General features: G+C 36.8%; 1 annotated feature.

Annotated features, from left to right (window-relative positions):
• Positions 10,352-11,347: an enhancer, noted in NCBI's record as "OCT4-NANOG hESC enhancer chr3:146498699-146499694 (GRCh37/hg19 assembly coordinates)". NCBI's record gives its function as "activates a minimal SCP1, AML or CMV promoter by ChIP-STARR-seq in naive H9 embryonic stem cells {active_cell/tissue: H9 hESC(naive)}" and the evidence as "EXISTENCE:reporter gene assay evidence [ECO:0000049][PMID:30033119]".

A 15,795-nucleotide genomic window follows, 5' to 3' on the forward strand; every position in this document is an offset into this window, starting at 1 on the left:
TGGGGGAACAATATTGTAGGAAAAAGAAACATTGTTTGTTTCAATGAGTGAAGTACTAAGAGTGCATATGGTCCCATCTGTCCCGTTCTTAGAACATACTAGGAGCACAATAAATATTTGTTTAATCAATGAATGAATCAATGAATGAAATATATTGGGAAAAGTGTTCCAGAAGGGATTTTAAAAATCCTGTAAATGAAAGGTAAACACCCTTGACTATAATTTTTCCTGTTTTTCTCTACGTTATTGTGATGTTTTTCTAACTCATAAGCTCTGTTTTACTTTTTTGGTCCTTTCACAAATATCATCCAAGTTTCCTGAGACGACTCCTCTCTTGATCCTGGATATTATATTTATCTCTGATACTCCTTTGTGTGTGGTCCTGGATTTGTATGCCCACTGATACATAACTCACCTCTGGCACTGCTCTGTAATACAGAGGCCTGGCTCCTGGGAGGCATGGCTCCTAGGCTCCCATAAAATTATTTCCTGTTTGACTTCAGACAAGGGGTGATAATGGGGAGATTAGAGAACAAGAAGATGAGAAATGCCAGAGTGTGTTTTCCCCTCCTCCTTAGCAGGGGATAAGTATCCACAGTGATTCCATGGCCTGCCAGATAGTTCACCATGTTTCTATTTTCTACATAGTGACCCTAATCCCAGACTCTTCTAACACCATTTCCTCCAATTGTCTTCTCTAAAGGATTTGGGGATTATTTTTGGAGATTTAAATATAAAATATGAGTCTATGTTTCCAATGCAGTGTGCTTTCTATAATACTACAGTGTTACATCATTGAATATATTTGACAAAGAAATTACAAACTATAACTAATGTAAGAGGAAAATAAATGATGGAGAATAAGGAAGAAAAAAGGCATTTTGCCAGTAAGGAATGTTTTTGACTTCATATAACAGATAAATTAAGCATGGATTAAACAGACAGGGATTTCTATTTTTCAGATGTGAACCAGTCATAGTTAGGCAGTTGCTGCCATTGATCAGTTGCTCTGCTACGTGGTAGTAGCAGTGATTCTTTTGCTATTTTCTCCATGGAACATGCAATTTCAGGCATTACGTCCCTAATCAATGAAGGAAGAAGAGGATAAGGGCCCCACAAGTCAAAAGTATCACTTTTTATCTTGAAAGCAAAAGCTTCCCCAGAGTTTTCAGCCAAATTTACGTAAGTCTTATTGGCCAGAAGTGTGTCATATGACCAAACAATTACAGCAGAGGGTAACAAAGTAAATATTTACATTTTTTAGCCTCCTTAGTACAGGCTGGAAACTGAGACTGAGATTGAGTGATGGGTTAGGCAGCCAACAGAGGCATGTAAAACGGAGCTATTTTAATGACAGATAATAAATAAATGCCAGTTTCAAGGAAAGTAAGTGGTGTTAAAGAAAAATCTTTTGCTAATAAGATTACTTGGTTAATGTCCAAGTTTGGGACAAATGAAGTTAAGAAATGTTTGACAAATCATAATTCAGCAAAGACATTTTAATATGTGGAAACTGAGGCTCAGGGAAGATGAGTAAATTCTGCACATTAATGCACCTGATTCATGGCAATGCCAGTTTTCAGGACTAACTTTATTGTAATTCTGGGAGGTGACAGCATGCTGGCAGCCCTCACAGCCCTTGCTTGCTCTCAGCGCCTCCTCGGCCTCCGCACCCACTCTGGCCGCACTTGAGGGGCCCTTCAGCCTCCCGCTGCACTGTGGGAGCCCCTCTCTGGGCTGGCCGAGGCCGGAGCTGGCTCCCTCGGCTTGCGGGGAGGTGTGGAGGGAGAGGCGGGGGCGGGAACTGGGGCTGCCCGCTGCTCTTACGGGCCAGCACGAGTTCCAGGTGGCCACGGGCTCGGTGGGCCCCACACTCAGAGTGGCCGGCTGGGGCCACCGCCCTGGGCAGTGAGGGGCTTAGCACCCTGGCCAGCAGCTGCAGAGGGTGCGCCGGGTCTCCCAGCAGTGCCATTACACCGGCGCTGCGCTCGAATTCTCACTGGGCCTCAGCTGCCTCCCCGCCGGGCAGGGCTTGCGACCTGCAGTCTGCTATGCCCAAGCCTCCCCCCGCCTCTGTGGGCTCCTGCCGAGCCTCCCCGACAAGTGCCGCCCCCTGCTCCGTGGCACCCGGTACCATTGACTGCCCAAGGGCTGAGGAGTGTGGGCACACGGCAGAAGACTGGCGGGCAGCTCCGCCTGCGGTCCGGTGCTGGATCCACTAGGTGAAGCCAGCTGGGCTCCTGACTCTAGTGGGGACTTGGAGAACCTTTATGTCTAGCTAAGGGATTGTACATACACCAATCAGCACTCTGAGTCTAGTTCAAGGTTTGTAAATGCACCAATCAGCACCCTGTGTCTAGCTAATCTGGTGGGGACTTGGAGAATCTTTCTGTCTATCTAAGGGATTGGAAATACATCAATCAGCTTGTTTGTAAATGCACCATTCAGCACCCTGTGTCCAGCTAATCTGTGGGGACTTGGAGAACTTTTGTGTCTAGCTCAGGGATTGTAAACACACCAATCAGCACCCTGTCAAAACGGACCAATCAGCTCTCTGTAAAACAGACCAATCAGCTCTCTGTAAAATGGACCAATCAGCAGGATGTGGGTGGGGTCAGATAAGGGAATAAAAGCAGGCTGCCCAAGACAGCAGTGGCAACCCACTGGGGTCGTCTTCTGCAGCGTGGGAGGTTTGTTATTTTGGTCTTTGCAATAAGTCTTGCTGCTGCTCGCTTTTTGTGTCTGCACTGCCTTAATGAGTTGTAACGCTCACCGCGAAGGTCTGCAGCTTGACTCCTGAGCCAGCGAGACCACAAACCCACCAGAAGGAAGAAACTCCGAACACATGCGAACATCAGAAGGAACAAACTCCGGACACGCCGCCTTTGAGAACTGTAACACTGCGAGGGTCCGCGGCTTCCTTCTTGAAGTCAGTGAGACCAAGAACCCGACCAATTCCAGACACAATTCCAAACTCTTTAAACTTTCTTCTATAATGTATGGCCATGATATGGTTTGTCATTTGCTAGCAAAGAATTCTTGAATCTTATATATGCATACAACCTATCCATAACACTAAACAAATTATTTCCCCACCCCCACAATCCTTATAGTGACTTTTGTACTTCAAAGCTGCTCCTTACGTTAAAGAAAACATGTTTTCATTGCTATGAAATTTTAACAGAAAAATAATGTTTTCCCTAAGACCAAATCTTTTAGAAATGATCTGAGTTGTACCTAGCATTAAAATAATAGAGGAAAATCTTGAAACAACTTAATACTATAGTCTGTATTCACATTTTGGCTCACTGTTACCCTCGGGATATTTTTGCACTAAATTGGTGCTGTTTATGTCTTCTAAGTGCAGTACAGATAATTAATTCTGATGATTTCTAACAATTTCTGCAATGAAACATCACACTAAATGTAACTAATATTTTTCTTATTCTGTCTATTAGAGTGTTACATAAATATTCCATTCAACTTTATAGTTACAGTCTGGTATCTAACATAGAATAGATGTTCTCTTACAATTCTTTTAATTGGTTCTTTCCTAGCCCCATCTGTTATTTTGCCTCCTATACCCCTGCGTCATGACCACCACCATGCTCTTCCCTTGTATTTACTTCCCATTAATCCTAATGGGTTTAATGGGAACCTAAATTCACTTTATTTTAAAAAGCACTGAAGGTTTAAATTGTAAGGATTATTAGTCTATATTAATTTCCCACTCTTTGATTAGTATCTTCTACTACATGTATTGTGGAAAATTTGACCCTCTCATGTCTGCTTAAATGCCAGAGCTGGGAAGTACATTGGCATCTATATCAGCAGGTTTTCCATTTTGGACATCTCTATTTAGAAACCTCCTCTTTGAACTTCCTCCTGATGGAATTAATTCTGTATCTGAATAAATTTTAATCTATATGACATGTGACTTAAAGACACACTGAGTCTATTTCTTTACATTTTTAATAGTAAATGGAAAGGTTGGGTTATATATTCTCTGAGGCGAATGAAGTTCTAATATTTGGTATTTATGTGATTTTTTGTTTGCCATTAGCTACCTCTTTGAACTGTGTCTACCATGATTAGTCTCCAGATCCTTTAACATGGTTATTCTTTAACAAAGTGTGCTTCAATTAAGTAAATCATATTAAAATGTAAGTCAGAATCAGCAACTACAATAATACATTATGCAGACAATAATAGCTACTATTTAATAATTTAAAGTGCCAGACAATGTTGTAAGAATTTTGTGTGCATTATTTCATTTAATCTTCACAACACTTCCTTGAACTAAGTGTGAAGCAGTTTGCTGTGCTCTGGTTACCAACATGTCTTGAGTTGCATGAGACTGAACACATTCATACACAGCAAATTACATGAAGTGGATTGATTACTTGATAGGCGGCAAGGGACAACAGAAGTCTAGGATTCAGTGTGAGCTGGTCACCCAATGCTCAGGCAACTCTGGGGGGTGGATGGAGCCTTCGCTGCATGTGCCCAACTTGTTCCACAGCTGAGGGTACAAATGGGGCAAAAGGCAGCCTGCTCCAGGTTACATACCTCGATATTCCATAACTCACCTGGGCAAAGCATTGAAGGGCATTCTGTTCTGGGGGGCCTGGAAGAGAGCCTAGCTTTTCAAGCCAGCTTCCCCTTTATCTCAGGATGTTGCATTCCTACCATGTAGTATAATTACTCTTTAGAACTACAAGTGAGAAAGTGAGGAGAACTGGGTTTGTCCAAGTTCTCAGAGAACTGTCCCGCAGTAATTCTCTTACTGCTTCATTTAATGATGAGAAACTGGCTCTTGGAAATCTTGAATTTTCCATGAACTTTCCAAAGCTCAAGATCAATGAATCCTCTTTTATATGTATTAGTTTTTATTACCTTTCCCATATAGTTCCATTTAAAAAATTGTTAACATAAACTTGCTCCCACTGTATTAATGGCTTCGTTCTCCTATAATGCCCAAATATTTATTTAAACAAGATTTTAAAACTTGCCTTGGATGGTCAAGGTAACTTAAAAATTTAACTATTAAAGTTAAATTCCAATGAAAGTTCCTCATGTTACTAACTCAAAACCTAATTTCTGAAAATAAAATATATTGGTCAATAGTTCCATCTAAAACTCTTAAGACAAAAAGTTTGCAGATAACTTCCATTTTAATAGGATATATTAACATGATAGGGCTATATTAAGCACAGTTTTTCCAAACACTGAGCACCTTTGTTGGATTCAATGTTAGGCTTTCAACATTTATCCAATATCTTAATATTGTCATATTTTTATCATACTCTCAGAATTAAATGAAGCAAATATACATTCCCACATCTGTGAAAGTAAATGTTTATTCCGTCTACTTACAATGCTCAGAACATTTGTCACCTACATGCAGGGGAAAGAGACATATTTTTGTAGAGTTAATTTATTTGAAAAGTTACACACATTGCATAAATCACCTGATTTACTTTTGTAATAAGATAAAACATGAGATTTCTCCAGAAGGTAGAAGACTGAGATTGAATTGGCAATTTTGTTAGATTAATAATACTAACTTCTTACATTAACTTTAGGTTTACTCTTGGTTTAAAATTAAGTTATTATTCAGGAAGCTTAATAATCATCATTTCAAAGTTCTGAATTCACATTATAACACAGTAGGGAGGGGTTGTTCCATGGTTGTTCTCCTTAATTTAATTTTTCTGAAGTGATAACAACATTAAAGGAGAAGATATTCTGATCAGAAATAAAATCAGTGATATATGTGACTTCCATCATGTGTTGGAATAGTCACACATTCTCTGAGGTTTCCAGTGTTGTGACCAGTTCCCCATTTTCCCCTGAGAAGCCTTCCCACAAAGCATGTCAATTATTGGTCAATGCTAAATTTCTAAAATTCACCATTTACTCTTTGCCTAATCATTATGTTCTGCATGATCATAGTCTTACAAAAAGGAACCAGGACAAATTATGGAACTTCATGTTTACACAAACGTGATTTCTGGTCAGTAACAAGATAAAGAATTAGCCAAGGCTGGCAGTTTGTTCTCCAAAATCAACTCTAGTGAAACTACAAATATGAAACATAAGTAAGGATTCCAGGAGCTAACAACCACCACCACAAAATAATCCCTTTGTAAAACCCCTAGAAAGAATAAAGGATGTTTTTATCTGGATATATCACTGTAACCTGAGGAGCAGAATTGCAGGAGAAATCAACCAGAAGACAGGCCAGAGGAAATCCTTTTAAACTCTACCCATATGCATGCCAGTGCTAGAGTCCTTGAGTTACTTTCAGGGCCTTAAGTGGGTAAACAATTTATTCAAAGAGACATTAACTGATCAACTTCTATAATCATTCCTCCAAATCCTTTAGGGTGTAGATTTTTACCTAGGTGTAAGGACTGATACTAATGTTGTTTCACAATAATGAGTTAAATGTACAGCCCTGCTCATAGCTATTGCCTGGTAGAATAGCTTCAAACAGATACAATCAACACTGAGACCTGCCCCTGGACATTTATCCCATACTGTAAGGAGAGTGGCTGACATCCCAAGAAAAAATGAGATCACAGTCGAAAATAACTAAACACCTAAGTAAGAAAACCTCCTCAAAAGAGGACCTCAAACTGAACAATGTACCTTACCTGCCACTGAGTTACAGAACAGGTAGAATGCAGATTTAAAATAAGCCTATTAAATATCTTCAGGCATTAAATGATGGCAATAGTAATATAAGATTACTTTCACCATTCATCCAACACAGATTAATTTCTCTAGTTTTGGGTTTACCAAAACCAAAGAAACAGTAGCAAAATGTTTGTCACTAAAACTAGAGGCAATATATCATAATCAATAAAACAGAAACAAAACAAAACAGTTTTTTGTTTATTTGTTTATTTTATTGATTTTTGAACCCTTGTGTTTTAACTTTGTGGTACACCAACTTTTGGAACTAAAGTGATATAACTTCCCAGAGTAGTGGTAAAACAGCCATGAGACAGAGTTGAGCCCATAACTAGGCAAATTTATAGATTATCATGTGAGATAATGTACACAAACATATTTACATACATATTTATTTTTCCTGAGTAATACATGTACATAACGTTAAAATGAAATTCTACAGAATAATTAAAGTTGAATGCAGCTGTCTCCTGCATCACTCTTCCATTGTCCAAGTTCAGTTTTTACATCAATGATTTGAAAACATTAGGCAGTTACTTCTGATTCTTCTAAAATATATGCTCCATGAGGACAGAAATTTTCTGTTTATTGACTGTAGTTTCACACTGGCATGTTGGAAACTTTCTTCAAATGTCTCGCTCTTCTTGGACGCAAGTGAAAACCTGGTAATAGAATAGAACCATTCTATGTGCCTTAACAGAAGGTGGGGAGGACACTTACCCAATTGCAGAAGTTCTTATATCAGAGTAGGGGAGAAGACAGAGGGCTCAGTAGTTCAATGCATGTGTCATACAGACCTATACCTTATTTCTGTCCTCAGGCAAAGCTTCTGTTTTCTAGTCTAGAGGCTCTTGGGGATTCTGCAGAGTACTTCTTGGCTGAATTCCCTTCAGACATTCTGCTGACTGTGGCTTTAGCTGCTCTGCTGCCATGCAGGTGACTTTCTCTATCTCTCATGACATTAAAGGTTTTTTGTCATTAGCAGTGTATACTTTTTTCCTCTTTTTTTTTCTATTTACTATCATTTATGAATTTAATGTAGGTCTCAGAGGAGAGGGTAGAAAAAATATGTGGTAGGTTTGTCACTCATATTGACAATTTTCATGAAATTTTTCTGATATAGAAGAGTTTTCTAGTTTTTATGTCACTGTTGAGCTGCCATTTTAAAAGGCCATACTCCCAAACCATCAGCTATGTTCACTTCAGTCTCTAATAGGCAGGGAGGGGCATTAGGTTCTTTACAGGGCCATCTCAAGCAATGGCAAATGAAGGGCAGTTAAAAAAAAAAAGCGGTTGTGTTTGCTCCTATTTAAAGCACAAAGGTAGAGAAGTCGGAGAAAAGTAGGATCATGCGGGGTTGCCTGTCAGTTCCAGGGACTGATGTTTTACATGTAGGTCTACAGACATCATCTTAAATTTGAAAAACAAAAGCTGACCATTTTGAAAAAGGATCTATTTACAATTTCATTAAATGAACAAAAGAAAAAAAAGTAATGAAAAATAAAATGGGAATGTGAAAATATAGTCTCAGATCACAGAGATGTAAGAGATTATGCAGCATATTTTTTCTTATTTCCTATCGGATTATAAAAACTGTCTTAGCTGCTTCAAAAAATGCTGATATATAAAAAAACCTTCAGAGAAAGAAATTAAAGACCATGAAATGGACAAATAAATGTGCCATTCACTGTGGTAATATACTGGTAGAGAATAGATTGAGCTCTGAGTAGTTAGTAAGCAAAAGAAGGCACAGTGAATTTCATAGCTTTCCTAATCAGAAAGAGCATAGCCTGCTGGTTACTTAGAGGAGTTATATTTTAAACTTTTTATTGACTTAAAATGTTTCAGATGTCAGCAAATTTCTTACCTGTGAATCAATAATTTCAGAAGAAATACAGTAGGTTTGTAGGGGAAAAAAATGATTTTTTTTTTTTTTTTTTTTGAGACAGAGTCTCACTCTGTCGCCCAGGCTGGAGTGCAGTGGCGCGATCTCGGCCCACTACAACCTCCACCCTCCAAGTTTAAGTGATTGTCCTGCCTCAGCCTCCTGAGTACCTGGGATTACAGGCGGCTGCCATGGCACCTGGCTGTTTTTTTGTATTTTTAGTAGAGACGGGGTTTCACCATCTTGGCCAGGCTGGTCTTGAACTCCTGACCTCATGATCCAACCGCCTTGGCCTCCCAAAGTGCTGGGATTAAAGGAGCCACTATGCCTCAACAAAAAATGATTTTTGAGTAAGATAAATATGATTTTCACACTGGGCCACATGCCCTCAGAACTCTGTCTTAATTTTTCATCTTTATCTTGTAGGGGTTTAATTGTATGTTGTGTATCTGACACACAGATTTCAGTAAAGGCTGACTACATTTTCAAGGCTGAAATACACTATCATCACCATCATCTTCCCACCCCTCTCTCCTATGACACACCGACTTGCAGTTTTTCTGTTTTGATCAAAATCTGTATCCTTTTTCCTTAAGGAATTTAGGAAAGCTTAGGTTCCTAAATTTAGGTTTGATTGTACAAGGCACATTTTAGAGTAATAGGTTAAAGATACACAACTAAAAATGTTATTTGTATCTTTTGCTGAGATTGGGGGTACCCACAATTTTTGTGTTAATGCTCACAAATAACAGCAATATAGCATACCATTCCCATGCATCATATTTAACTATCTAATTGCAAATTAAAACAATAGGAAAATAGAAAGAAATGTAGAATTCATATCAATGGAAATTGCACATTTTTATGAACAAATGTGATCTGAACACATCAACCTGATTTATATGCAGAGATACTACTTCTATAGAGTACAGAAAGAAGGACTAACTACAGTTTCAAGGCACCCTTGAAAATAATTATTCCCATGTCCTCCTTCTGCCCTTTTTCTTCTTGGTGGTCTTCAGATATTCTTTTTCTTTAATAGCACCACAAGTAGTAGGGGGTAAGAAGAAGGGGTAGGCAAAGCAATTTTGTGTACAGTTATAGATATAGCCTTTTGTAGTTTAATTTTTGAAACTGCAGCCTTTGGTTCTTTGAATCTATTTACACAGATGTTGGGGAAGACGGCTTGTAACCATCTACCACTGGCCTTGTGGTCACCTTTGCCTTTAAGCAATCTCTGGGAGGTACATTAAAAATGATTGTATTAGACACCCATTTCTAAGACACCATGTTTTTATTCCACGTTCTCCTTTTGGAATGTAACCTAACCCCATATTCTTAAGACACAGGGATGTTTACTTAGTATTATATGATTAGTCCATTTGGAGACCTGTAGTTTTCTCATTTTAATATCAGTAGTTTATACAATGTATGTGGGGTAAGCTAACTGCACACCTATTATGCTACTTTAATATTTCAAAAATGGTGGAACTGAATTTTGACACATAATGTCAGCAATTAGCAGTAAAGAGAAAATATATCTTACCTGATTTTAGGCTTCAGACTTTGATATTAAGAAAAATATTTTCAGATGGTAACATTGAATAAAACACTAACTGAAATATAAAAATATGTGGAAATATATCACAATCATTAATGGTAATATCATTAAAAGTTAACAGGATATTTTGTTTTCTCTTTTCCATCATTTTGCTATATTGGCTACTAGAAGAACCATTAAGGAGGATGCAATAAAACACAGTTTAATTTTGTCTTTAAAATCTTGTTATCCCTCACTCCCTCTCTCTCGCTCTTTTGAATGCAGAACAGTAGGTTATTTCTGATTCTTCCCCTTAGGGATGTGTTCTGTTCCTTCAGATTTTGCAGATGCCCATGTCCTGCTGCTATGCCAAATGCTTCATCCTCCTAGGAGTTTTTACCTGGCCAGGTGTCATGGCTGCCAAGCTGAAGGATGAACACTAAATTGAACAGACAGGGAGATGTGTACAACATGGTTTTCATCCTCCAAGTCAGAGGTGTTACATATATGATGGCACTGAGTAATCAGCAATAGTGACTAGGCAGTTTCTCTGCTTTGGCAAACTCGGATCTCGCTCTCTAACTGGTCATATGGACCTCCTGCCGCTATGCCTAATAACTGCAGCTCAGTTACCTACATCCTTTCTCACCTTTTCACCAGGAAGGAAGCATTGTCTTTGATTGTCCATCAGGACTAATCCTTTCTCAGCATGAAACTTGTTAGCATAATTGTAGAGAAAGCTCCAAAAAAAGGACATTAGAAGTTGTTCCTTTTTAAAAATGTATGTAATTTGAATGAAAAGTTACTGTGTGTATTTCGCTAATCCAGCCGTTAAGGTTTCTTCCATTATCATCTTTTTCAATCTTTATATTTTCATTATTTCTGTGTAATTAGAAACCCTTCTCAACTCTAAGAAACAATAATAATCTTTATTAACGATAGCATAATCGAGAGAAGTTTTAGTTAAGATTTTTTAAGACTCTTATCTCCAAAAAAAATAAATTATGAACAATTCCAGTTACTTTTGGGTCATCTTTAGTCATATAATTGGATTGCTCATGACTTATTTAAAAATAGAATGAAGGAACTTAGTTCTGAGATCTCTTTCCAAAAGAACTATGAAGTCACTGAAAGCCTGTTTATTCAAGAGAATAAACTGAGAGTGCCAAGGGTACTTGCCCATAAAGTGAATGTGCTGCAAGCTAAAAAAATAAGATAAAATGGGCAGCAAATGTATGCTTGGATGAATATAATTTCTATTTACTAAGATAATTATATATTGAGCTTTTAAAAAACAGAGAAAGCCTTAAAATTTTTTATGAACAGAAGGGGAAATATTATCATGGGTATCCTAGTTTAAAAAATATAACTTACAAGAGGGTAATGTCAATATTCAAGGTAAAACATAAATATTGAAGAAAAAGATTGTACAAATGGAGAATAAAAATATTATATAGTCATCTATCCATGTACTGTTATTATTATTAATTTGTTAACCTACGGAGCCATTTAGCTTTTGTGTTTTTGCACAAGGGAAACGGCACAGTGTCAGACAGGTAATTGAAGTTATCTGGGGCTTTGTTTGATCCAACTTGTATGTAAAGAAAAACAAGAAGGTTAAAAAAAGGACTTTAAAAGCTGCAATTGGTGCCCAAGACACATCTTGACAAGTATAAAAAATATAATTAAGATTCCTCGAATATTACTGAAGTGAGAAGTTTCTACTACTCTTTTTAGATTTCAGTGAAAATGTAGTGTACTTTGATAATATTAACTTTGCAAAGGTCTTGTTATTTTTTAATGGTATTGTTCAGCTCCTTATGTTTGAAGATACCATTTTCAAGGTCCTAGTTCAAAACAACTTTTGTTTTGAAGCAGAGAATTCCTAGTGCAACCTTCTCTTGTTAGTTTTGTCCAGTGTTTATCATTAACATGATGACCATGACACGAGGCAAAGTAAAAATTCTAAGAAGGGTCTTAACCCCCCTGCAAAAGAAAACACCGTTAACATTTGTTTTCCCCAAACTAAGAACATTTTATAAAAATTAAAATAGCCTTACAGTTTTAGGTTAGATATCATGAGTTCTTCCTTTTCATTAATGATGGAAAATAACTGGAAATTGAATGGTTAACCCATTAAATTAGTTAACCCATTCAGTTTTAGTTAACCCATTTCTGACATGCTTTATAATGTAACTTTGATTTGGAATATTGGAGGATTTACGCCAAAAAAAACCTCAGGCTGAATTTGATACAGGTGGGCTAGGGGAAATCCCCAAACATGGTGGGACTTCAACCCCAGCCAGTATCCAGGCTCTTGCACCATAGTGTGAAGGATGAGTCAGAAAATAGTGAAAGTACAGAGATTTATTGCAAAATGAAATACACACTCAAGAAAGGGGAGTGTATGCCTACCCCCGAGAGTTGCACAAGGGAGTTTGGGGCTGCTCCCTTTATGGATTTCTTTAACCAAGGTGTGGAATATTCATGATTTTTGGGAAATGGTAGAGATTTCTCAGAACTGTGGTGCCATCCATTTTTACACCAGATATGAATGTTCCTGGAACTTTCATGGTGTTGGTGGATGTGTAATTTAGTATGTGAACGAGCATATAATGAGGTCCTAGGTGAAACCTAGCTCAAATCCAGCACCATGTTGGGTACAGTTGTTCTTACCCAGCTTGGCCCTCACCCTGGTTTTTCGGAGTCTTGTCAGCATCTACTTTATGCAGCTCTTTGGACAAAGGTTTTTTTGCTAGTCATGTGAAACTGCTGCCTGGGATTTTCTATTCTGCAATCACAATGTATTTTTCCTGTCTCAAATTCATATGCGCCTTTCTCACTGTTCTGCTCAGGAAACCATACTCTAGGATGTTCTTTTGCTTAACTTTTTAAAGAGCATTGGTAAACCAGTTTCATTTTCCCAAATACTTCTGAGAATTCCTGAGAGGCTTATACATGTCTCAGCTAAAATCCTGGCACTGGAACACTGCCTTCTCAGATGCATGTTATTGATTTCTTTCTTTAGATAAGTTCTTACAGGGCACAACTGCATGGGTTCCCCATGCATGGTGCACTAAAGACCAAAATCGAATGTTTAAAACATTTTAAGTCTTAGATATAGCATAAAAGGGTTTATAGGATAGAAAACAACAATTTGGACACAAAATATTAAGTTTTTTTTTAACTCTTATTCGTAATCATTTTGTAATTTGTCTTATCAGAAATTAGACTCAGAGAGAAGAAATAGTGCCCCCTCTTCATCCAGGCTAAACCATCTCAAACACCTATCTCATTATTTACCTTGTATAAGATCTCCATGTATGAGCTCCCATTAAATGTTGCAAAATTTATACAAATGGCCCTAAGAAAGAATATTAACCTGCAGAGATAAATCCAATGTGGAAATGGTCATAATTCAGACAAACTTTGATATTGTTATACAGAGTACTTTTCCTTGAAACCCTATAGTTCTGGCCGTCTGCATTGAAGATTTTTTTTTTTTTAACCATCTCATAACCAAATGGTCCACTAGGTTAGATTTTCCAGGATAGAGTGTGACTAAAGAGTCAATAATTTTTGCAACAGAGAAAACCTTAGAAATAAGCTTAGAAATTAGTTTGACCAAAGTTTCAGAGATCTCAAGACCAATCATTAGGGCTTAATCTCAGACTGTAATAGTGTTTTCTACAGAACAATGGCTTTAAGTACACAGATATTTTCACATTTAGTGTCTATTGCTGGAAAGTCTGGTCCTAAAGTAGGAGCAGTGGATGCATTTCTTCTTTCATAACAAATTTGACACTCAGGAGATAATAACCTTATGAGAATAAACAGTATTCTTCATTTTCTTTGGCTGTCTATACCCACACGAAATTAAATATATGAAGGATATTTCAAAACATTCTGGAAAAATAAGAAGAATATTTAAAAAAATAAACTTTAACCAATATCAGTCTTTGACAACAAAGTTAACCATTTTAGCCATATAGTATAATTTTAGTTTCTAGGAAAATGTATGAATAGGGAAATGTTTCTTACATTATGCATATTTTCTCGAGTGATGTCCTAGGGACTCCTGTAAAATACCTCATTGATTGAATTATAACTATAACCTTAATGCAAATGGTACATTAGAGCATTTTTTTAAAAAAAGAACACATGTACACATTGGATGGTCTTCCAATTGTACTGTTTCTTATGTATGTGTGTATGTGTATGTCTATGTAATTTTAGGTAGTTATAGAGATTAGATATTGGACAAGTAATTAGAAAGTAACCAGATTTTGTTTGTCATAAAAAAGAAAATGATTAATTTTAATTGAATTTTTAGTTGAACAGTAAAACTGGATAAGAATTTACCCTATTCAGGGAAAAGATGTACTGTGCTTTTCAGACCAAAACTGTTCTTTCCTGAGTGACCCAGTGTTGGCCTTTACTGCAGAAATAGATTTGTTTTGGTAGACCCCTGTAGCCAGCTACCTGCAGAGAGAAAGGAATCCTGCTAAAGAGAATTCTTAATACAGTAGTTAAATATTCTTTCATTTGGGTGAAGTTTCACATATGATATTCTTTTCTATTCAGCATAATTATAAACCTTTAGTTTTAATGCACTTTCAAAATAACTAAAATAATTATAAAAATTAACAAGATAATTGTATATTCCTCATTGAAAAGTTTTAGCCTATTCAAATCTAGCAAGTCTGCTCTGAAATACCTGAGAAAAAGGTGTAAAATGAATAAGAAAAGAAAATACAGCAGAATGTACCAGATGTTTTTATGTGTTGGTTGTACATATATCTTTCTCTGTTAGCTTTTAGTTACAGACAGAATGCAGTGTACAAAATTTTATTCACAATAGATGGCCATGCATCATATATTCACATATGGATATCATTTCTCTGAGGATTGAAATAGAAAGATAGGAAAACACAATATGGTGTATATGCTGAATTCTATATATAAGCAAATGTGAATTATATAGTTACATGCTCTCTTCAAGAGGCTTCTTATCACTATCTCCCTGGGTAGTGTAGGGATTAATTAGTTAAAGTTTGTAGGCTCTTTGAAGCTGGGAAACACTATGGAAGTGCTAAGCATTATCATGGTAACACGAGAGTGAGGCATAAGTGATTTGCAACCCCATCAGCTCTTTGAAATGTGTGTCTAGCCTGATTCACAGTTTTCTCTTACAGTGTTTTATGGATTGGAAAGTTCTTATCAGATTTGAAGATGAAATGTGTTCTATTGAAATCATACTAATCTGCACAATCAATCTTTTTTCTATATATTAGTAAAGTGATGTTTCTCAAAATAGAAGAAAACTTGGGATATGATTTGAAAGGTAATTTAATAAAGTAGAATTTTGACATCAATTATAACTCATCTATTAGCATTTGATTGACTAAGCTGTAGCTCTCTTAATTAGCGCAACTGAAGTCTAGTTAATTTGCATAAAGGTAGCTATTCCCATCTTTTATACTTTAAAAGACAGTCTGGAGACTAGTCACTGTTTCCATAAAGCTTATATAGATTTTATTAGCATGTTCCAATCATTCCTCACTATAATAATGTCAATTCTAAGATGTAATCTGCTCAGGATTTCTTTAAGTAATGTTTTTTACTTTATTTTTTATTTCTGTTTTTACTTTAGATTCAGGGAGTATATGTG

The sequence above is a fragment of the Homo sapiens genome, chromosome 3 (genome assembly GCF_000001405.40).
Source record: "Homo sapiens chromosome 3, GRCh38.p14 Primary Assembly".
In the NCBI taxonomy this organism is placed as follows: domain Eukaryota; kingdom Metazoa; phylum Chordata; class Mammalia; order Primates; family Hominidae; genus Homo; species Homo sapiens.